Source organism: Homo sapiens, chromosome 10, assembly GCF_000001405.40.
Source record: "Homo sapiens chromosome 10, GRCh38.p14 Primary Assembly".
Classification (NCBI taxonomy): domain Eukaryota; kingdom Metazoa; phylum Chordata; class Mammalia; order Primates; family Hominidae; genus Homo; species Homo sapiens.
In genome coordinates, this window is record NC_000010.11 from 100,462,298 (window position 1) to 100,486,595 (window position 24,298).

Genomic DNA, 24,298 nt, shown 5'->3' on the forward strand with positions numbered 1-24,298 from the left:
TAGGCTGTAAATGTTGTTAGGGCAGAAATCATGTTTTGGTTTTTAAAAATTTCCACAATGCCTAGGGTGGTGTTGAGAATAAAATAGGCATTTGGTAAGTAATTGTGTGATGAAAAAGTTGAAAGGAAGAAAAAACCATCGGGCTTCCTGAAGTTTCTAGCCTTTCTAACTTAGACAGAGAATACACTAGATGGTAGGACTGCATCCCCACATTCTCAAATCAGAGGGTGGAGGTTCACCTGCACCTGGTGTATTTTTTTCTGAAAAAACAAAACAAACAAAAAAATGCTATCCTGAATGCAAATTCAGTCTCAAAGTGCTACAGAGGACAACCAGGAAAGCACAGTCCTTTCTGGATCCCTTTTGGGGACCAGGCTGTGTGTGTGTGTGTGTTGTGTGTGTGTGTGTGTGTGTAAGTGTGCATAGGTGGGAAAAGGTTGTGGTGTGATGGGAGGGGATAGGCAAGAGGGAGGAAAGAGACTCCATGCAGTGATTATGTGGAGGGGATTTGCTATGTCTCTTCCCCCCGCTTCTTTCTTTGTCCTCTTTCTCCTGGTCCCCTTCTTCTGCATTTGTCTGGGAGGATCCTGGAGTGTTCTTTTGATCGACTCAATCTTTCTCTGGCACTTGAGTTCTGATTGGCTGAAGGACTTAGAGGGGAAAAAAAACTTTAATTAAGTAGATAATCTCTTCTTTGGACGTTTGGCAGCTCCATTTCACCTCCCCTTAACTCTGTTTGGGATCGCTTACACACCAAGGAAGTTGGGCTTTGAGAATTCCATCCCACTGGCACTGAGGAGAATATTTCTCCGTCTTGCTTACCCATCTCCCAGTTTTTTGGAATTTTCTCTAGCTGTTACTCCAGAGGATTATGTTTCTTTCAAAGCCTTCTGTGTACATCTGTCTTTTCACCTGTGTCCTCCAACTCAGCCACAGCTGGTAAGTAACCTGGACTCTTACCTGGAGCTGGGAATAGGTAAGTGTATGTAATGTGTTGGGTAAAGCTCATTTCATTTCCAGAAATGTAGGAAGCCTTGATAGCTCTCCTAGGAAAAACTGTTCTATGGGGTAGGGCTCTTCCTAAATTTATGGCTGATTTTAGTGAATCTTTAGGACCCCTACCAATAAAGGACTAAATGATGGGAGCGGGGGTTCCTATTTTTATAAATTGCTATTCCACAAATATTCCCCCAAAGTGATTTGGGGGTAAATGGACAGCAGCCCTTTTCACGAAATCCTGATGTCAGCATTGTAGAGAGGAGGAAGGTAGTTCAAAGCAAGTTCTACCGTGTGTTGAATCTGATCTTGAGGTAAAGTCTGGAGACAAAATTCAATGGGATCTTACTTTGTACTTTCTGACTTTATTTTTTTTTTCAGGATATTCTAAGTAATTGCTCAAATTATCATTTCCTAGACATAAAAAATTTTATTTGAACCACTAAGCAGGCATTGGGTTAACAAACATGTTTGAAACCAGATATTTTAGAAATCTAAACGTCTCGAGAAATTTATTTAATTTGTTCAATTTACAAATATTTCTAAATTGTTCAGAAAATCAGATAACGTATATGAAAGTGCTTTGTAAATTATAAACACAAATGCTAAAGAATATCATCACCATTCTCATTTAGCTCTTGGAAACCACATAAACTATCTATACATGCAACTGTTCATTAGCAAATACACCAGTACACAATAACATACAGAATGCAGGTTGCTAGGGTGTTCGGAGTTTCTCTCCAGTTCAGATATGAGCTCAGTCTCTCTCTTCATCAGCTCTCATTTTGACCATCTATTTAACAAAGATATAAATCCAATTGCTACATAAACTGTTGAGGAAGCAGGAAAAGAAATTTCTTTGCTGAGATAAGCTTCCTTTGAGAATTGAAAATACATTTTTATCATAAATGAGTGTAGCCGTCTTTATAGGAGTGTTGATAGGAAGTATGCCAACTTCATAAAACTATTTGCAAGTTAATACAATAATTTGCAACATTTCTGATTATAAGCAGAACCACCAATTAGTCCATTTTTAATTGGCATTTTAATTAAATATTTCAATGTTAAAAAAAAGGTCTCTCTTCTCTCCCCCTCATGAGAACAAAAAGACAAAAGGGAGAGGAGACTATTTCAGAGCATTTCTACTGATGTTCATGGTATTCTTCAGCTGATTCAGTATCAGCAAAAGAGAAACACGAGATTCCCTTCCCTAGTCACCAGGGCGGTGTGAAGAATTGTTCTATAAAAAATACCTTTACTGTGTGTTCCCTTCCCTGCTGGAGGGGGTCATGTTCATTTCATTCCGATACTGACACAGCCACACTGAAAGGTGGCTGGGTTGCTTGTCTGTCCAAATTCAAGTGTCTGGATTCAAAAAGAAAAAAGGAAAAAGAGATGTGAAAGAAAGTTCTAATTTAAGAAAACAGGGTTTAAGAGCCCTTCTCGCCTTGCCTGACTTTGAGGAGAAAATGTACAAATCTCCTTTATAATACAATTAGATTTTAATTGCTTTTTCCTATAAGCCCCAATTTAAATTAAACATTTGTACTTCACCAAGAATCTGTTTGTGGTGGCATTTGAAAAGTGATTTTTAAATTTAACATTAAACGTTGATTATGCTTCTAATGAAACTATCACGGTTTTGCATAAGGTCATCTTCCCCTTTATGCCATGCAGAGAAATTTGACCAACCACAGCCTTTGAAATGTTTCTCTTAATACTTCATTATCAACCTTTTATGTAAGGACCTCAAAAGCATTTAACAAATAGAGAACCACAATTTCTGCTTGGCTGTTCAATTGTAGGCCTGCCTGAAATTACTATCTAAAAGAGTCCATCAGCAGAAATTCCTGGGCTTGAAAAGGAGAGAATAATGATGACATTCACCTATAATATGCAGTTTTACTAGGTAAATCAGTACAAGATGATTTCTTTGAAAAGTATTTGCCACAGTTTTTTATAGTTGGGACACTTCCAAGGAGAACTGTCTTTTAGTAACTTGAGAAAATTATTTTCTTTGAATTTGTTTGTCTTAATCCTTATGGCTCCAAAGATAGAGAATGAGAATGCATGATAAGCCAAGCAGATGATGATGATTATAATGGTGGCCAGAGATGAACCAATTTGATTTTCCTTCCAATGCACTTACTCATCTGGAATGAGCAGGCCTAGAAAGTGTTTTACCTTAACTGGTTGGCCCCATTTTACTCCAAATGATATGTCATAATGACAGTGGGTCTTACCCAGTTCTGTTCATTTCTCACTCTCTCCCCACCTAACTCAGTCACCAAATCAGAAGGATGCCCTGGGATACAGAAGTAAACTATAGCTCTGCTCTCATTCTTCAACAGAAGTCACCGCCTCTACTTCTTTCCAAAGGTCTGCAGCAGGAATTTAAACAGGGTCCATTTCTCTTCTGCAGTAGGGCAAGAATTTACCTAAAATCATTGGATTTTATGGCAGCTTTTGAAAAACATCATCTTTTGGTCCTCTACATGCATCTCATAGAGTAACCTTTCTATGGCTCTTGAAATCTCATCTGATGATGACATGTGGGACTCCTGATTGGCAAAGGAATCAGTTATTGGAGGAAGGTCTTTGAATCCATATTCTCACCAAGCATTGCATAAAGCTGAAATTATTGATCTCCACACTATGTTCTACTACTTTTAGGTGTATTTTATGAACAATAAAATACAAACTCACTTAAAAATTACTGAATTCATACTGGGGTTCTGTCATAAGTTTTTGCCATGTTGAATTTTTCCCACTAACAGATTAAAAAAAACCATATATGATCAAGTGAAGATCCACTAAAACTGTCACGATAGGGGAGGATTCTTATCCTCAAAGACGCTGGGAATCCCTGAAGTTAAAGAAATAAAAAGTAAGGTGTGAGGAACTGCTTTGGAATCTGGAAAAAAAAATACCAGTATAAAAGAGTGACTTAATAGCATCCTTGGTTCATAAAAAAAAGTGCCTGATCCATTAAAAAAAAAGCTGGGATTTGTGGAGTAGCTCTGAGGTGGGCTAGATCAGCAGCTGCACTGTAGGAAGGCCTGAGGGCTCTGAGACATAACCAGAGAAGTTTAATTCCCAGGTTTATCAATGAAGGCCTCCACAACTTGAGCCCCATGTGTTTCTTTCCAGAATCTCTATTTCTCTTGTCATGAAAGACAATAACTATTATTATTATAATTATTAATAACAACAAAGGCTGTGAGTATCCTGGGAAAAGACACTTCATTACAGCTCTTGTTATGAAACCAGTTTGTGTGAGTGACAAGAAGGATGCTCTAAGATGCATCTTTGTTTTAGTTTTAGTTTTTGGTGGATGACAACATGACACAAAGAAGGATCTCCTTTGTGTGCTATTACATAGTGACAAATGAGGCATTAAAAAAGGACCAGAAGAAAAGGAGTTTTAATCTAAACCCTCTCCTTCCATGGAAAGATATTCCTTTTTTTTTTCTTTTTCCCAGCTGGGAAAATTGGTTTAATGCTGCTCTATATTGGGTGATACTATTATCTCTTGGGACTATTAATAAAATTCCTTTTTTTCTGGGCTCCAACGATGCTTGTCTATTTCCATCAGAAAAGTGGGGGAGAATTCATATGGCTTAGAGAATGAGGTCAATATAATTTTTCTTAGGATAAATCTTTATTTTTCAGAAAGTGGATTTTTTTTTTCTTACTCAGTAAAAGATCAGGCTAGGTTAACAGCTGAGGGAAACACTGAGCTTGGGTCACATAAATAACATTCCCCATTGCCTCCCACTTGAAATACACCTGCACTCCCAGGACCTCTCAACGGAAACTACCATCCACTTTGGACAGATGCTTCAGTCTCATTATGAGCCAAACTTTTATGGTTTGTTTTTCTCAATCTTTATTGTAAGCCCCTGTTATTGATCATTTCATTTCTCTGTATGCTTCTTAGGTTAGAGTTTTCTCCAAGCCAAGAGAAAATCAGATCATAAGGGGATCATTTAAATTCACCATCATCTGACCAGTCCAAACTCGCTTTTTAAAAATAGGTTGTTTTCGCAACTTCAGCATCCTATGGTACCAGCACATTATGGGGCTATATTCCAGTAGTCCCAATAAGACCCTATAAGAGGGCTAATAGGTCAGTCTTTCTATGCAGCTCCATAGATGAAATTCTTATACTCTCCAGGCCAAATTTACACCACCCTACATTAGGAGGAATTTCCCCTTCATTCAAAACTGCAATTACCATTTGCTGCTCTAAATCTCAGTCCTTTTTCTGTAGTCAGGTTCTTTAGGTTTATCGTATCACACTTTGAAGGTTCCATTATCCAGGACGCTAAGTAGTGAATCAATAGATTGTCCACGTTATCCTGTCTGGTATTTCCTCACCTTAATCCAAGGCATCTGGTGGAGCCCAGATTCCATAGATTATTGCTTTTCAGAATAATTGGTTTTGTTTTAAAATTTTCATACTATGGGAAAAACATGTTTTTACAAATGTTGAGAACAGCATATATAACAAACCCCAATAACTCAGCTTCAACCGTTATCAATCTCTGACCAATCATGTTTCACCTATACTTTCTGTAGCATTTTTAACTGCATATTCTCTTAGTCTGAATCTTCCAAGTACTACCATGGTTCAAAACAGGAAGAAGAGGGATAGCAAAAGGATTATCTGTCCTGTGTCTGAGAGATTCAGGCCAGTAATTAGAATGAAGTTTGGGGAACATTGTACATTTCTCCCATTGCCCTTAGGAGAAGATCAAGAATACAGATTAGCAAAAGGGAATAAGTCATTCAAATACATGTTTGTGTTTATTTCTATTGGAGCTGTGGTTAATTAGCAAAGGCAGTAGAAATTGATGGTTGGATCAGATTGAGGAGAGAACATTTTACCATCTATTTGGATTAATTCCATTAAGCAGTAAAAATGGCACTAAAGTGCCAAAGCCTGTCAATTTTCCAACCTTAAGCTGTTCACCTAGTTATTTTACAGGATAATTCTTGGAGTTACCATGTACACCCACCTTCTTGATACTGATATAAACTGGTATTGTTTCCATCGATGCAACTGAGAACATAAATGTTTTCTAAAGTCTATACTGCAGGGACCAAGGCAACAAGATCAGAAAACAAAATGGAATTATCTGCCTCCATAACGACTGTGGAAAAAGTTCCCGTGATCCCAGGCTTTCTGGGAATGGTGGCTTGAGCTGTTCCTTAGCAGCTCTCACTTAGAGACCAAGGAAAGGAGCATGAGTATAGCTTATCCCTGCCACAGTCCTCATTTAGATGCTAAGTGCTGAAGTGCTTTTCTGTAGCTTAGCGTTTCTCAGCAGCACTTGCTACAATACATAAAGAAGGAAAGAAATGAGGACAGGGAAGATAGCCTATCACTCTATAAAATATCCTGGAATACAAATGACGTATCAGTTGCAGGGAAAAAGATGATCCCCCGAACATTTGTGCTTTGCTTGTGAAGGAATCTGCCTGAGCTTCTTTAGCAAAGATCCATGGTACAGAGTTGTCCTGTGGGCTATTACATGGCCTTTGCTAACAATTGTTTGGCAAGGGCCGGATTTGCGATAATGTGGGATTTTAATATACATTTTAATATAAGGACTACTGCTAAGATTGTCACATCTGTTTAACTTTAAAAAATTTTTTTTGTCAATTGGCTTACAAGACTTGTTTTCTCTTTTCATATTTTAGGGCACTGCATCATTATATAAAAAATTCACATTTATAAAAAACATTTTTAGAATGATTTACAGGGCTGAACTCCCTTTGAAGAAAGAAATGGACTTTAATTTGGTGAAATAGTTATGGGAATATGACCAAAAGCTACACATTCCTGAATTTTTCTTTCTATACTCATCTTGAAAAATACCTTCCTCTGGCCCCAATCTCTACTGCAATCATTTCTCCTTTCTCTTTTTTCTTTCAATGCCATCCTCCCCCAACCAGTTAGCACTAGCTACTTTCATGTCATAACTCCTCACTCTCTGCAATCTGGCTTGTGTTCTATTGCCATACTTAAATAGATCCCTCCACTGATACCAGCTTTGTTCCCTCTTGACATATTTTTAAGTAGGAGGAAATCTGATTTTGAAAGTCTGAATACTTCTCTTCCCTTTAAGACTTCAGATACCTTGTAACTTCTACCTCCTAATCCCTTCCCCTAGTTAAATAGGAAAGCCTGATTTCAATACTTTGGAATAGGTAAGAATTAGTCATGCTTTTCACCCTTGAAAAATATTTGCATTTTAAACTTAACTCTCTCAAATTGTACAGTGAATAGTTCCAAGTTCAATCCCCTCAGGTATTATCAGATAAGGTAGTGAAGAAAATTTGGGGACCAACGGGATATTATTTCACAGTTATTAGTAAGACCTACTTTCTGTGTAACTGTGTGTGTGGGCACACGTGTGAACATACCTTTGTGTCTGCTCGTGCACATGTGTTCTACAGGTCAGATGTGTGGATGCTGTGGAACAGAGACAGTCACAAGGAAACTCACTCAGAAGAGCTATCTTTGGGCTCTCCCCAGCCCAAGGCATCTTGGGAGTTCTATGGACTGAAAAGCTGCTGTCAGAACTCATTCTATGAGAAAGCTGCATCACTGGAGAACCTTCCAGCTATAGCCCCTGGCAGTTTCCCTACTCCATACCCTCCCCTTAGCCTTTAGCCCTTTGTCCTATATGCCTTCTGTGCTAAATCTTCAGATGGAGATCTATAGTTCACATTCATTCACTACCACTTCTCCTTTCCCCTGGGCCAGCACTCCAATTTCGGTAATCAGATGTCTCTCTCCTAAAGTAGACCAAACTGAGCCTCATGACTCAGAGACAATTTTTTTAAGGCAGGATCTCACTCTGTCAGCCAGGCTGGAGTGTACAATCTTGGCTCACTGCAGCCTCGACCTCCCTAGCTCAAATGATCTTCCCACTTCAGCCTCCTGAGTAGCTGGGACTATAGTGTATGCCACCATACCTGGCTAAGTTTTGTATTTTTTGTAGAGACAGGGTCTCATTGCCTTTTTAAAATATCATCATTATATCCTCTTTTCTGAGCTCCATCCCATTTATCCATCTTTATTATGATTTTTATTTTTATTTTTCGTAGAGACAGAGTCTCACTCTGTTGCCCAGGCTGGTTTCAAACTCCTGGGCTCAAGCAATCGGCCCACTTTGGCCTCCTAAAATGCTGAGATAACAGGCATGAGCCACCATGCCCAGCTGATGACTCAGAGACATTTTATGGACATTAAGAGATGGGATTAAAGGTTGGGGAGAAGCCAGAAATACTACGTAAAGATTTGTGGGGAAAGTGATGAGAGGCAGAACAAAACAAAATCACAGGGCACTAAGATGAAAGTCCTGGGTGGTAAGAGGAAAATATCAAATTCTGCAGATTCATATTCAGAATGTTTCTTATTTTCTATTTTATTTTGTTTTATTTTATTTTTTGAGACAGAGTCTCACTCTGTCGCCTAGGCTGGAGCGCAGTGGCGCAATCTCGGCTGACTGCAACCTCCGCCTCCCAGGTTCAAGCGGATTCTCCTGCCTCAGCCTCCCAAGTAGCTGGGACTACAAGTCCACACCACCACGCCCAGCTAATTTTTGTATTTTTAGTAGAGATGGGGTTTCACCGTGTTAGCCAGGATGGTCTCAAACTCCCAACCTCAGGTGATCTGCCTGCCTCAGCCTCCCAAAGTGCTGGGATTACAGGCGTGAGCCACCATGCCAGGCCTATGTTTTGTTTAGATACACAAATGCTTACCATCATGTTATAATTGCCCACAGTAGTCAGTACAATAACATGCTGTATAGGCTGGTAGCCTAGGAGCAATAGGCTCTACCATATAGCATGGGTGTATAGGAGGCTATCCATCTAGGTTTGTATAAGTACATTCTATGATGTTTGCACAGTGACAAAATCACCTAACGACACATTTCTCAAAACATATCCCTGTCATGAAGCCACACACTGTATCCCCTCCCCACCTCTGCCTACAGTGTCCTTTAGCATTTGTTTCTCCCTACTCTTTTATACATAGAACCCAGTGTGAGCAGCAACAGTGCCTAGAAAATGTGCCCAGGGGATGTCGTGCTACCCAGATAAAGCAGGGCCTGTGCCCTGGCAGATGTGGTTGTTTTGTGGACATAGAAGCAGTAGGCTGGTGTAATGAAAGGATAAAAAAGTAGCAGAGACAATGTGATAATTAACTGAGTGTATTCATGAGTGTGTGCAAAACATGGCTTAGGCCGCTCAGAAATATTTACCAAGAATTTTTCAGGAATTAGGAGTCCTGGATTAGCCAGTGGGAATAAGAGCAAGGGAAAAACGGGCTGCAGAAAAGCACAGCAGGTAGAGTGCATGCTCTAGAGTAGGACTGCCTAGGCTCCAGCCCTGGCTTCACCACTTACCTAGCTGTGTGAGGCTGGGTGGCCACTCTATGTTTCAGTCTCTGTTTCTGTAAAATGAAAGATATAATAGTTTCTACCTCATATAATTGTGATCATTATATGAACTTAAAATATGTAAAACACTTCAAAGTACATGGTCAGTCCTGGCAACACAACGAGACCCTGTCTCTACAAAAAATACAAAATAAAAATATGCCGGGCGCGGTGGCTCATCCCTGTCGTCCCAGCACTTTGGGAGGCTGACATGGGCAGATCACTTGAGGTCAGGAGTTCAAGACCAGCCTGGCCAACATTATGAAACCCCATCTCTACTAAAAATACAAAAATTAGCCAGCATGGTGGCATGTGCCTGTAGTCCCAGCTACTCGGGAGGCTGAGGTGGGAAGATTTCTTTTTCTTTTTTTTTTTTGAGATGGAGTCTTGCTCTGTCGCCCAGGCTGGAGGGCAGTGGCGCGATCTTGGCTCACTGCAAGCTCCGCCTCCTGGGTTCACGCCATTCTCCTGCCTCAGCCTCCCAAGTAGCTGGGACTACAGGCACCCGCCACCACACCCAGCTAATTTTTTGTATTTTTAGTAGCGACGGGGTTTCACCGTGGTCTCGATCTCCTGACCTCATGATCCGCCCGCCTCAGCCTCCCAAAGTGCTGGGATTACAGGCATGAGCCACCACACCTGGCCGGAAGATTTCTTGAGTCTGGACAACAGAGCAAGTCCCTCTCTCTAAATAAATAAATAAAAGTACTTCGTGTGCACAGAATAAACACTCAGTGAAAAGTATAGTACCCACCCCATGGAGTTGCTACGGAAATTTAAAAAGATGATACAGGTAAAGCACTTAGAAGAGTTCCTCACATACTTGAATAAATGCTAGTTATTATTACATGATATGATTAAACTTTATATCAGTGTATACACACACACACGTATACTGGACAGCTAACACAAGAAGAAGAAACAATTGTAAAATTTTGACTTGGCAGTGTAAAAGCACAACTAACCACAGTTATTTATGTAAATCGCTTACCACTTATGCCTAATTACTATGAAGCACAATAACAATTATGCACAGCACTAAGTGTGTCAGATTAACTTTGCTAAAGGTTTGATTATAGCACTAACCTCTGTGTACATATGCTCAGTGTTCACTCTGTTACTCTTGTAGTTGATCATCTCCTAATGTGGCACAGTCATCTGCTCACTACACTAAAAAATTAGTGGGAGCACTGGCTTGCCACAGGCTTCCTATATTTCTCAAAATCTTTTTGCAGTTCTTTTTCTCCTTACATTTTCTGCTGCATCTGATGGTCTATCTTTTTTATTTCAAAATCCTTGTATTCAATTCACTTTTATAGGCACTTACTATGTTCAAAGTACTAGATTAGGAACTGGAGGGTATACAGAGATAATTAAGGCAGCCCATACTTAAGTATAAAAGAGGAAAGGGAAACCTTCATATGAAACAGAGAAAAGTTGCTGTGAGGCTTCAAGGTGTGCTGGTTGTGGCTTCTGCACTGGTACTTATTCAAGAATAAGTGAGATTTTTAAATAATAGCTTTATTGAAATATAATCTACATACTATAAAAGGCACCCTTTAACAAATCAATGATTTTTTTTAGCCAATTCATGGATTTGTGCAACCTTCACCACAATCCATTTTAGAACATTTTAATCACTTCAAAAAGAAACCCTTTATTTATTAGCATTCACTCCCCGTTCCTCCTCCCCTCAGTCCCTGGAAACTGTGAATCTAGTCAGTTTCCATGAGATTGCCTATGCTGGACATTTGATATAGATAGAATCATATCATTTATGGCCTTTTGTGTCTGGCTTCTTTCACTCAGGATGATATTTTCAAGGGTCATCCATGTTGTAGCTTGTATCCAGTACTTCATTCCTTTATATGGTCAAAAAATATTCTATTATGGGTTGGACATGGTGGCTCATGCCTGTAATCTTGCACTTTGGGAGGCTGAGGCAGGCGGATTGCTTGAGGTCAGGAGTTTGAGACCAGCCTGGCCAACGTGGCCAAACCCCATCTCTACTAAAAATACAAACATTAGCTGGACATGGTAGTGCATGCCTGTAATCGCAGCTTCTTGGGAGGCTGAGGCACAAGAATTGCTTGAACCCAGGAGGTGGAGGTTGTAATGAGCCAAGATGGCGCCACTGCACTCTAGCCTGTGCAACAGAGCAAGATTCTGTCTTAAAAAACAAAAAAAAAGGTGACTCTTCATGATTTTTGTCTGAGCAACTAGGAGGAACAGTCCTTTACTTAGATGGAGAAGACTACAGAAGGGGTAGGCTTGGGTGATGGCAGCGAGGATCAGGAGTTCAGTTTTGGACACGTTAAGTTTGAGATGCGTATTAAACACTGAAGGAGAGATGCCAAGAATACAGTTGGATATGCAAGTCTAGAGTTCAAGCAAATGTCTGAGAAGAGCTGGGAGGGTTCAGGAAGTCATGAACCCTTTGAATGGTCCTGAATCTGGGTAATATTGTCAGCAACTGTACAACCTCATGGGAAATGGGAAGCTTGTACCTCCATCTGGGAGTATACTGTTTTACCATGTTCTGTCTATATAGCAGCCTCCATTTGTTAAACAAAATTTATATCTTAAATTTACATCTTCAGTGTTTGTTAGCATCTTTCCTTCAATCACATAACTGCCACATAGAGGTGGCACCCATACAAACACTTAAATTCCTTCCTTTTTGGTTCTCTTTGCATCTTCTCACAATACTCACTATGTTTTCTGCAATCTATATTTTACCCCCAAAAGGAAATCATGTCATTGTTTCATTGACCAAGAACAAGATCCTCCTCCTTTGGTACTCACTACAGGACAGTCTTCTTTTTTTTTTGAGACAGAGTCTCGCTCTGTCGCCCAGGCTGGAGTGCAGTGGCACGATCTTGGCTCACTGTAAACTCCACCTCCAGGGTTCAAGTGATTCTCCTGCCTCAGCCTCCTGAGTAGCTGGGATTACAGGGGTGCATCACCACGCCCAGCTAATTTTTGTATTTTTAGTAGAGACGGGGTTTCACCATTTTGGTCAGGCTGGTCTCAAACTCCTGACCTCAAGATCTGCCTGCCTTGGCCTCCCAAAGTGCTGGGATTACAGGCGTGAGCCACTGCACCCAGCTGAGTCTTTTCTTAATATAGGATATTTTGGATATGAACAAGCTAGCCATAAGGTTCAAATATGTCTGCAAATAACTCGGAGGTTAACAACACAAGTTGGCTGGGCGTGGTGGCTCACGCCTGTAATCCCAGCACTTTGGGATGTCAAGGTGGGCGGATCACCTGAGATTGGGAGTTCGAGACCAGCCTGGCCAACATGGTGAAACCCCATCTCTACAAAAATTACAAAATTAGCTGGGTGTGGTGGCACACGCCTGTAATCCCAGCTACTCAGGAGGCTGAGACAGGAGAATTGCTTGAACTCGGGAGGCGGAGGCTGCAGTGAGCCGAGATCATGCCACTGCACTCCAATCTGGGCAAGACAGAGCAAGACTCCGTCTCAAAAAACAAACAAACAGAAAAACACAAGTCCCGGGAGGTGGAGTCTGCAGTGAGCCGACATCACACCACTGTACTCAAGCCTGAGCAAGATACAGTGAGACTCTGTCTCCAAAAACAAAACAAAACAAACAACAAAAAAAACAAAAACACAAGTCACTTTATAGGAATGTTGTCCAAATAAGGCCTATAGTGTTGTTCCATGACAGGTGCTCAATTAAGTCTCATTCATTGATCAGTTGGGCTTGACCTGGATATCATACAAATCTTTGCATATTGTAGGATCTTCCAGGAAAGAATTCTCTAGAATCTCTGTCTATTACTCCCTGTAGTTCCGGCTTAGACTCCTTTCACAGGAAGACTCTTCACCCCAGCTATGGCAAAGCATTTTCTTTGTCACTCAATTTGCTTTGTTGTTTTGTTTTCTTTCCTGATAATTTCTGTCTTATGGAAAATGGGAACTAGCTCTGTCAGGCTTGGTAATGTCCAAAATCTTTGAATGTTATTCCTAACATAAAAAGTGCCTTTCTGAGTGGGAACAAGCTCAGGCCCCTTTCCCCAAAGCAAAGGGGCCTGGCTGACTCCTCTGACATGTCTTTAAGGATCAGAAATTCATGTCCAAACCTATAATGGCTTTGGAAATTGTGAATTCATTTAAGTCATTCTGAATTGTATTTTTGTGTTTTGCTGGTGCTACTACACCTGATCAAGCAGTGCTTCTTTTCAGTTGAATTAAGGTTGCCTACCAAGCTTTAAAAAGTAGGCCTTGGTGGCTGGGCGCGGTGGCTCACGCCTGTAATCCCAGCACTTTGGGAGGCCGAGGAGGGCAGATCACGAGGTCAGGAGATCGAGACCATCCTGGCAAACACAGTGAAACCCCATCTCTACTAAAAATACAAAAAAAAAAAAATCAAAAAAAAATTAGCTGGGCATGGTGGCAGGTGCCTGTAGTCCCAGCTACTCGGGAGGCTGAGGCAGGAGAATGGTGTGAACCTGGGAGGCAGAGGTTGCAGTAAGCCGAGATGGCACCACTCTAGCTTGGGTGACAGAGTGAGACTCCGTCTAAAAAAAAAAATAGGCCTTAGTTTTGATAGACTTCATAGTATTTTTGATTTTCTAAAATTCTATTACAACTCGTTTAGAATCTTTTTCATCTCATATGGCAGCCTCTTAGTTTGTTAATACTGGTTTTCAAAAACTACTCACATTTTTGGTGTTGTATGTGTTTTTTATGAAGAAAGTCAGCCAAGCTCTTTTGGCCTGACAAGAAACTTTCTTGGTCTATTTCATTTCCAATCCCCTTTCTGGTGATGTTCAGCATCTTATTGGCCTTCAGAATTGCAGGGGTACACCAGCATGGAACAATACATAATGATTCCCGTATTACTTTCTCACATTATAATGGAAAAACAAAGATAATAGATAATAGATTCTGATTTTCAAATGCCTATACTGAAGTCATTCTCCAAGTCTTTAGCCCTGCAGATCATGTGTATATGTACATATATATTTAACTTTTTATTTTTAGATAATTATGGAGTTGCAAGACATGTACAGGGAAGAAACGTACAGGGAAGTCCCATGTACACTTGCCCCAACCTCCCCCAGTGTGAACATCTTACAACGTTAGTACGATATCCATGAAGCTTATTCAGACTTCACCATTTTTACATGCACTTGTGTGTACATGTACTCATGTATGTGGCTTTATGCAATTTTGTCATGTGTAGCCTTGTATAACCACAGTAAAGACATTTGGCCATTCCCCCAAGACTTTCTCATGTTACTCTTTACAGCCACATCCATCCCCCATCCCAAATCCTTGGCAACCACTGATCTGTCCTCCAGCTCTATAATTATATAATTTTTATTATTTCACTATTGTTATGTAAATAGAATCATGCAGTATGTATCCTTCTGAGACTGACTTTAATCACTCCGTAACTTCCTTGAGGTTCATCCAAGTTGTTGCATGTATCAACGTATCATTCCTTTTTATTGCTGAGTAATATTCCATGGTATGAATGTACCACAGTTTTTTATTTTTTATTCATTTATTTATTTATTTTATTTTATTTTTGAGTTGGAGTCTCGGTCTGTTACCCAGGCTGGAGTGCAGTGGCGCGATCTTGGCTCACTGCAAGCTCCATTCCCAGGTTCACGCCATTCTCCTGCCTTAGCCTCCTGAGTAGCTGGAACTACAAGTGCCCACCACCACGCCTGGCTAATTTTTTGTATTTTTAGTAGAGACAGGGTTTCACCATGTTAGCCAGGATGGTCTCGATCTCCTGACCTCATGATCTGCCTGCCTTGGCCTCCCAAAGTGCTAGGATTACAGGCGTGAGCCACCGCACCCGGCCACAGTTTTTTAAACTACCCTTTGAAGGACATTGGGTAGTTTCCAATTTTTGACTATTATTAATAAAGTGGCTATGAGCATCCAGGTACAAATTTCTGAGTGAAAGTAAGTCTTTATTTCTCTGGGATAAATGCCCAAGAGTGCAATTGCTAAGTCATATGACAAGTTCATTTTTAGTTTTTTTTTGTTTTTTTTTTGGGACAGAATATCACTCTGTTGCTCAGGCTGGAGTGCAGTGGTGCAATCTCAGCTCATTGCAGCCTCTGCCTCCCAGGTTCAAGCGATTCTTGTGCCTCAGCCACCTGAGTAGCTGGCATTACAGGCGCATACCACCATGCCTAGCTATTTTTTTTTTTTTTTTTTAGTAGAGACGGGGTTTTGCCATGATGATGCCTAGGCTGGTCTTGAACTCCTGGATTCAGGTGATCCACCTGCCTCAGCCTCCCAAAGTGCTGGGATTATGGGCGTGAGCCACTGTGCCCAGCCCATTTTTAGTTTTAAAAGGGGCAGCCAAACCATTTTTCCAAATCGCATTACTTATTTTTAGAGTTTTATTATGACTCAATCCCTAGAGAGATATTCCACTGTTTGTTTACCTCTTCCTAATTAGAGAAGTATCCTTCTAACGTCCCACGGAGTCAGATGAATGTGGATTCAAATCCTGCTTCACTCACTTATTAGCTGGGTGAGCCTGAACACACGTTTAACTTTTCTGGAGTCTCAGATTTCCTGTCTGCAAAATAGAGATAATAATGCCTGAGACAGTAAGGATTTAACAAGATCAACATGTAAAATACCGAGAGTAGAGCATAAGGAACATAGTCAGGAGTTAATGCTAGTTCTCTCCCCCACTTCATGGCAGAATAATCAGCAACCATCACTATCAGGTATATGGTACTGGAAATTTTACCTGGCTTTAACAATGCAAGGAAATGATACTACTTTTATTCATGTTTTTTCTACTAAGTTTTATGTGTGTGTGTGTTTTTTTTTTTTTGTTTTGAAACAGAATTTTGCTCTGCCGCCCAGGCTGGAGTGCAGTGGCGCAATCTCGGCTCACTGCAACCTCCACCTCCCAGGTTCAAGTGATTCTCATGCCTCAGCCTCCTGAGTAGCTGGGACTACAGGCGCCTGCCACCATGCCCCGCTAATTTTTGTATTTTTAGCAGAGACGGGGTTTCACTATGTTTGGCCATGCTGGTCTCAAACTCCCGACCTCAAGTGATCCACCTGCTTCAGCCTCCCAAAGTGCTGGGAATACAGGCATGAGCCACCCCACCTGGCTGTAAATCATCTTTAGTAGGTTTGTTATGCACAGTGTTTCCTGGGTAAAACTAGTTTCCCTTTCTTCCTATTAATGACATGTGCTGAAGTAATTCTTACCACTCTTGGAAGCAGAAACAAGTTGGTGTCTCTGCATTATATTCTGTTTTTGTTTTTTTTTTCCCTTATAGGTCGGTGAACAATTTCCTGATGACTGGTCCAAAGGTAAGAACAAATTCCATTAATTGATATGGATTTCACTAATCTTAGCCTGTTGACTAAAGATGATAAATGCAGATTTTTCATTATATCCACATATTTTATTATGCTGTATACATTACAGATAGAAAGATTGAGACCCAGAGGGTGTTAGGGACACATCTAAAACCACATAGCAAACCACTGTCAGCGCCAAGATAAGAACGCAGGAGCACTGAATTTATGGCTAGAATTTCCAGAGCCATAAAAGTCAACAGCCTTTTATAGGTGTCAGGCTGCAAAGTCACACATCCTTCTCAGTGCCCCGTGGTGGGATGCAGTTTCCCATGTTTAAAATGCTGGAATTGTACTACATGATCTTTACATTCATGGGCATTTTCAGTTCCAAAATGTTGTTTTCTAAGATGGTCATGTGATGAGAACTCCTTAAATTTCATGAATTAGGTGATTTGGGCTCATTTTGGAGAGACAGGATAGTATAGTGAAGAAAGGTGAATAAAGGATAATAGGGACTAGAGTCTGATAAAACTGAGTTTCATTTCTAGTTCTGCCATTTGCTAGCTCTGGGACTTTGGGGAAATTACTTTAGCTCACTCCCTGGGCCTCAGTTTCCTAATCTATAATATAGTGCCTATTTCACAAGTTATTTGTGATGTCAAATGAGACAGCATATTTAAAGGCTTACTCCATTATTTTGGAGGGATGGGAGAGTGAGCAGGAAGAGGGCTGTTTGGTCAGTTTAGGGTAAATGCCTCCTAAGTTCAGTCTGAATTTTTACCCCTATGTCCCTACAGGCTTACCTGATTTACTCCAGCAGTGTGGCAGCTGGTGCCCAGAGTGGTATTGAAGAATGCAAGTATCAGTTTGCCTGGGACCGCTGGAACTGCCCTGAGAGAGCCCTGCAGCTGTCCAGCCATGGTGGGCTTCGCAGTGGTAAGAAAAACCTCAGCCACAGCTCCCTGGACCCTCTGGTCACAGGTTAGAGCCCCAGGGATAGCCCCTTGCCTCCTCGACACCCTTATTCCTCACCTGCTCTCTTCTCTTAGGTCATCTCCCTCTCCAGGATCTTCTCTTTTCCTTTTCTACTTCCTTTTTCCCACCTGTAGAGTTTTTTCTTTCTTTCTCAACACTCTCATTGCTCAACAAATGGATCTTGCCTTACTCCCAATCCCATACCATCCTTGGCCTCCCAGCTGGCTAAAGGTCTCCTCACAATGTAAGTAATATCAGGAGGTAGGCAGGGGTCATAATTCCTCAGACCTCTTAGCCCCTTCCTCAGCAGAGAGATACTGGGCAAGTGGAGAGTGACTTGGAGACCAGATTCCCATGGAGAAGATAAAGAGTGGCCATGCCAGTAAATGAAAGAGCTACCAATCAGAGGTTCTTTTCAAGACTAACTGCACATGACTCTTAGACCCTAAGTGTTCCAGGAGGAAGTGGGGATGGGTTCTTTACAACCTAGCCTTCAGATTCATCTCCCTCCCCATTTCTTCCTCAGGCTCTTTCCAGTCATGTGTGTCAACAGTACCCTAGCCACTTGGTCATAAAATGTGTGACCTGAAAAGACAGGAGGTGAGAAGAGCAGGGCTAAGGCCAGGGATGGGGCAGACCATGCAAGAGGGTAAGATACACTATAAAGATGGGAAGGCCAGGCACAGTGGCTCAAGCCTGTAATCCCAAGCTCTTTGGGAGGACGAGGTAGGAAGACTGAGCCCAGAGTTTGAGACAAGCCTAGGCAACATAGTGAGACCGACTCTCTGCAAAAAAATAAAAGTTAAAAAATAATAATAAAGATGGGGAAATAGGATGGAGCTAGGGAAAGAGGATATAATGATGGTTATTAAAGAAAGGTAGCATGTCTGGTATTTCTTTAAGCTGAAACCCCTCCCTCTAACTCTGGATTTTTGGTTCCTGCTAGCCAATCGGGAGACAGCATTTGTGCATGCCATCAGTTCTGCTGGAGTCATGTACACCCTGACTAGAAACTGCAGCCTTGGAGATTTTGATAACTGTGGCTGTGATGACTCCCGCAACGGGCAACTGGGTGAGTAGTAATGTAGGGATGGGTACCATAGGCCAGCCAACGCACATAAAGAATGAAAAGCCTGGTGGGGGTGAAGAAGAGCTGTATTCTTCTAAATATGAAGAAAATCATGCGGAAGATGGGTGAACGAGTTTGATCCCAAGCCCTACAATGACAAGCCAGGCTAAATGTAGCTTAGAACCTTCTTTTCCCATTGAGTAGTTTCCTTAATTTAAATATAAAAATAAAGAAACAACACTCTGGGGATTCCTCTGTTGCTTCTCTCAAACACAAGGGGAACTTCCTTCCGTGTTGCCTATCCCCGTCTACTTTCCACTCTTTACCTCCAGTGCTGTCTCCAATCTCCTGAGCCCTCCTGACCAATTTCCAACATCGTTGTTCCATATTTCAATTGTACCCCTCTTTCCCCCTCAATGCTCGAGCTTTCCTCATCTTTTTGGCACCATTTTGTCCCTTCTGGACCTCAATCACCAGCAGGGCACGTGCACCCTCTGCCCATGCGAAGAGGCACTGTTGGCAGAGGAGTGTACTGGCACCTTGCAAAGAATCCACTCGGCAACTACTTACGTCGTTGAGCCCTGAGCAGGGGATTGGCTGAACCTGGAAGTGGGCGTGTAAAAGTGGCAAAAACAAATCTAGACGGCAACTGATCTGGATACAGGGCACTCGCCCAACCTTAATCCTCTCCTATCCTGGACCCCCCCACCCCCAACCCAATTAGAAACAGCAGCCCAGGAGGCTCTGCGCCCGCTTGCTCAATGACCTGTCCTCCCTCTGCACTTTTCCAGGGGGACAAGGCTGGCTGTGGGGAGGCTGCAGTGACAATGTGGGCTTCGGAGAGGCGATTTCCAAGCAGTTTGTCGATGCCCTGGAAACAGGACAGGATGCACGGGCAGCCATGAACCTGCACAACAACGAGGCTGGCCGCAAGGTGAGTCCCGCAGCCCTTGGAAATAGGCAGCTGCTGGCTATATCCACTACCAGCTCCAGGTGCGGACAACTCTTCAGTTCATTTAAAAGATTGGCAAAATGAGGTACCAAGTGGGCTGGCCCAGTAGACTAACTAGACTTCTCGCAACTCCCACAGGGGCAGTTAAACTCGCCACGCGCTTAATCCGGGGCCTCTCACTCCTAGCTCTCTCCCCAGGCGGTGAAGGGCACCATGAAACGCACGTGCAAGTGCCACGGCGTGTCTGGCAGCTGCACCACGCAGACCTGTTGGCTGCAGCTGCCCGAGTTCCGCGAGGTGGGCGCGCACCTGAAGGAGAAGTACCACGCAGCACTCAAGGTGGACCTGCTGCAGGGTGCTGGCAACAGCGCGGCCGGCCGCGGCGCCATCGCCGACACCTTTCGCTCCATCTCTACCCGGGAGCTGGTGCACCTGGAGGACTCCCCGGACTACTGCCTGGAGAACAAAACGCTAGGGCTGCTGGGCACCGAAGGCCGAGAGTGCCTAAGGCGCGGGCGGGCCCTGGGTCGCTGGGAACGCCGCAGCTGCCGCCGGCTCTGCGGGGACTGCGGGCTGGCGGTGGAGGAGCGCCGGGCCGAGACCGTGTCCAGCTGCAACTGCAAGTTCCACTGGTGCTGCGCAGTCCGCTGCGAGCAGTGCCGCCGGAGGGTCACCAAGTACTTCTGTAGCCGCGCAGAGCGGCCGCGGGGGGGCGCTGCGCACAAACCCGGGAGAAAACCCTAAGGGTTTCCTCTGCCCCCTCCTTTTCCCACTGGTTCTTGGCTTCCTTTAGAGACCCCGGTAATTGTGGAACCTAGGGAATGGGGAACCCGCTCTCCCAGACCTAGGGATCCTGAGAGGGAGAGACTGCAATTTCTCCAAAGCTTGCCACTTTCCAGCCTGTTTCCCCAATTCCTCTGTGCTCTCCTAGAGCTCTGTCTGAATCCTCGCAGCCACACCTAGGTCTGAGAACTCAGGCTTTGAGTTACTGATCTTCCTTGGATTAGGAGAACAGGTGTTCCTCCTCCCCTCTCCTAGCAGCCCTAATGTCTGACCTAGCCTATCAAGCCTTAGGCGCTGGAAGAACCCTTCTCAGACACGCAGGACCCAGGTAAAGTCAAAGCTTTGCCCTTTTGCCCACTGTCTGCTACCAGGGCTCACCCACTGCTGCACCTCTCTTCTGCACAGCTCCTCCCCTGCTACCTGCTGAGCCAGATTCCCCAGGAATCTTGAATGCTTTCTCTCCTCTTCTCCCTTTCCTTTCCCAGAAAAACTGAGGAAACTGGCCCCGGAAAAGCATGTCTTTGGGGTTGGTTCCTAGAGGCAGAGGTTGAAGATGGAAGAGGGAGCTCTGGAGTGCTAACTTGAACACCAAGGGTGCTACTCATCCCTATGGTATCATATCATGAATGGACTTTACTAGTGGGGCAATGACTTTCCTAGACAATAACCCGAGGGACTCCAGATACATACCCCGAAGGTCTAGGAAATACGTTAAGGGCAGATTACAGTCATTTCCTACCCTTTAAAGGTAACTTCTCCCTTCTCCTGACCTACTTCCTCCTAGCAACCAACTTTACCTCTTCTTCTCCAAAGGATCTTTGTTCCTCTGAGCCAAGACTGAGGTAAATAAAGCCACTTTCCTCTTCAGATCCTGGTCTGCACCTCTAGAGGCAGGTCCTAAGAAGGAGAAACTGAGACCCTTCCTTCTCACTAACCTGGTTCTCAAACAGGCAGGATTCAGAGCACTGGATATCTTCCTTCAATGAGTAAACTTCCTGCAATGAAACTGTTGCTTAGTAGGAAGTTCAGCACCTTGAACCTTAATTTATTGCAGTCATTGTGATATGTGCTCTTTTTCTAGGTACTGCACTTATTCTTGAGGATATTCGGGTGGGCTGTGGTAACAGATACAACCTGTAGGCTCTCTCCTCCCTCCCATCTTGGCAGGATACCATCCTCCCTAAAGCCTCACTTCCCTGGTGGCCCAAGCAGTTATCTGGATTGAGGCTAAGCTGCCAAGGATTAGTAAATCATCTATTTAAATCTTCTAATACATTCACTCAAGAGCCATGAGCTTGCTGCTTGTGGTACTTGAGTCTTCTGGTTTTATTCTCAGAGAGTACAGCAGGGACTTGTTTATGAAACAGAGCAAGACCTTGGGGAGGGAAGAACCAATCCCTGACAGACCCTCTGTAGCCCAAGGGGCTTCCCAGCCAGCTTCCTTGCCCTAGGACAGTCCCAGGTCTGGGGCTGGGCAGCTCTTCTAGAGCAGAACTGGTCAGATGCTAGACGACCTCAACCTTCCTCTCCCAGAGTAGGAAAAGCAGTGTGGCTGGCTCCAGGCAACAAAAGCCAAGACTCTAGGGGTTCACCTGTAAGAGTCAAGGGTTCCCGTATTCCAAACTAAGGCAATGGCCAGGTCAGATCCCAAACCCTTGGCCTCACCCACACACCTTCTGGTCTTACCAACACTTACTGAGGAGAGAGTTTCCCCTTCCTGACCGGGGATACACTTCCTTTCAGGTGTTCTTAGTGCTTCATTTCCAGCTTTCTCAGCAAAAGGCCCTTCACGCCTTCCCTCTGCTTTTATCTGAACCTCCTGAATCTCCCAACTCACCTTTTCTCCTTAATCAAGAAGCAGCATATACTAACCTACCTGTCCCACTTTGCAGAATTACTTTATAATGTACACGAAGAAAGTTTGGCAAGGCAGCTAGAAAATTTAAAAGCACAATGTTGTAAAGTAAAGCTACATTCTCCAGGTCTCTTAGCATAAAAGCAGAACTATTGTGCTTCATATTTGGTAACTCCAGGTCAGCACTCTAAATACGTCATGCCGCCAGAACATTATTTCATAGGTTATTGTTTTATACCCCCAAATGGATACCAGATTCATTCCAGTTCTACCAAGAAAACATGACTGAGATGCCTTGGATCTGTATTGCTTTTCCCTTCCTTTTGCAATATCCACTTGTTCATTTGTTCATTCAACAAACACCAGAGTAGAGATAGTGGTGAACAACCACCATTGCTGCATCACGGAGTTTAAGTTCTCATCTTACACTCAATTGCCAGGGCCGTGGTCCCTTTACAAAGTAGACAACTCCAGAACTGGTGCTTGGGAAGACATCTTTGAGGTCAGCCAGTCAAACCTTTTGTGTTACAGATTTAAACTGATGCTGAGAAAGATGACTGGCTTCTTCCCCCAACTAGTAAGTTACTGTGGGGAGAGTGCAGAGCACAGGCCCCTTCCACCTCTTGTGTGCTCTTCAGGAGCCCATCTGTCTCAGCCAGAAGACAGAAACAGAGGGAGGCCCTGAGAAGTGACAAGGACATTGGTTGGGGTGGGCAAAACACTGTCTCCTTCCTGTCCCTGGCCTGTGAGCCTAAACACAGGCAGAGCTTTTTCTTTTTGAAAAGAATCGCAGCCTCAACTGGCCTTAGCAGCAGGTTAGGGCAAAGACAGAGACGGGGTCGTCTTCGGCGCTGGTGGTGCTGGCGGTGGTGGGAGGGGAGGGCAGGCCAGGGCACTCGCCTATTGTAGGTCTGGATTGGATGCTTCCACTCATTCATTTCCTTTTAATTAACCCGCATTCCTGGAGGAGAAATATTTATGTTGGCTCCCATAGAGGCAATCCTCAGACTGGAAAGAAGGGGGAAGAAAGCCTGTCTTAGCAAAACAATATCTCTAAAGAGCTCAAGAAGAGAAAATAGGAGAACAAAATGCCATTAAAATAGCCTTCTACCCCCACTGGAGTCAATGAAAACTTCATTTCACATGCTAATCCGCCACTCCGCCCCCTTGTCTTCTCACAACACCTTTTCCGAAAGTGTTTGGGAAAAGTCTTCGCAGTCAGTACACAGCTCCCTGCAGCTCAGACTTCTCCTTGTGTTAGTTCAGGGCCCCAAGTGGGGCTCTCGCTCCAGCAGCGGCTTTTTTCTCCCCCACTTTAATTTAAACAAAGACTTCGGAGTTCATCAACCTCCCACTGAAATTCACAGCTGCTGAACAAACTAATCCCCTCTCCCGGCCTTTCTTCCCTTCAATGGGCTCTTGGCTTCAAAGACACTTTGGGAAAGGACTTTGCTAGGGCTCACACTGCTTCATCAATAGAAGTTAGTGCAAGTATTATCTGAAGAGCAAGTGGCTTTACAAACAAATACTGCCTAACAATCCCTCCCTCCCAAACACACACACATCTAGCCCGCAGACATGATGGGATCTACAACAGGATTAGGGCTAGCATCCCCTGGCTTCACACCCAGTCCCTTTGTATAGCTGAGCTCAGCCCTGAAGTGGGGTAGGGAAAACCCTGGAACTGAACACCAGGCACGGATGAAGGGAGACAATCCCCCCACCCTCAACACACCCAGCAGAGTGACCACAAATGCTGCAAGGAGAGAACCTAATTCAGTGGGAATGGACACCTTCCTTTAACTTTCTTGATTTATCTCTCCCTAAGCCTCTCCCCTGCCTTACTAGGGTGCAGGAAGCAAGAATAAAGAGGACTAGAAAGGTA

General features: G+C 43.3%; 1 protein-coding gene across 1 annotated transcript, besides 5 other annotated features; it reads left to right on the plus strand.

Moving 5' to 3' along the window:
- The first annotated feature begins 711 nt into the window (after window positions 1–711).
- On the plus strand, window positions 712–21,447 carry WNT8B (Wnt family member 8B). The gene is made up of 6 exons (NM_003393.4): window positions 712–939; window positions 16,755–16,788; window positions 17,577–17,715; window positions 18,701–18,826; window positions 19,615–19,757; window positions 19,974–21,447. The coding sequence occupies exons 1-6, from the start codon at window positions 872–874 to the stop codon at window positions 20,517–20,519; spliced, it is 1,056 nt and encodes a 351-aa protein (NP_003384.2). The 5' UTR covers window positions 712–871; the 3' UTR covers window positions 20,520–21,447.
- Window positions 19,987–20,642: an enhancer, noted in NCBI's record as "H3K27ac-H3K4me1 hESC enhancer chr10:102242041-102242696 (GRCh37/hg19 assembly coordinates)". NCBI's record gives its function as "activates a minimal SCP1, AML or CMV promoter by ChIP-STARR-seq in naive H9 embryonic stem cells {active_cell/tissue: H9 hESC(naive)}" and the evidence as "EXISTENCE:reporter gene assay evidence [ECO:0000049][PMID:30033119]".
- Window positions 22,663–23,439: an enhancer, noted in NCBI's record as "NANOG-H3K27ac hESC enhancer chr10:102244717-102245493 (GRCh37/hg19 assembly coordinates)". NCBI's record gives its function as "activates a minimal SCP1, AML or CMV promoter by ChIP-STARR-seq in naive H9 embryonic stem cells {active_cell/tissue: H9 hESC(naive)}" and the evidence as "EXISTENCE:reporter gene assay evidence [ECO:0000049][PMID:30033119]".
- Window positions 22,663–24,280: a biological region, named in NCBI's record as "VISTA enhancer hs1006".
- Window positions 22,788–24,280: an enhancer, noted in NCBI's record as "VISTA enhancer hs1006". NCBI's record gives its function as "enhancer in: hindbrain (rhombencephalon)[6/6] | midbrain (mesencephalon)[6/6] | forebrain[6/6]" and the evidence as "EXISTENCE:transgenic organism evidence [ECO:0001131][PMID:17130149]".
- Window positions 23,440–24,215: an enhancer, noted in NCBI's record as "NANOG-H3K27ac hESC enhancer chr10:102245494-102246269 (GRCh37/hg19 assembly coordinates)". NCBI's record gives its function as "activates a minimal SCP1, AML or CMV promoter by ChIP-STARR-seq in naive and primed H9 embryonic stem cells {active_cell/tissue: H9 hESC(naive and primed)}" and the evidence as "EXISTENCE:reporter gene assay evidence [ECO:0000049][PMID:30033119]".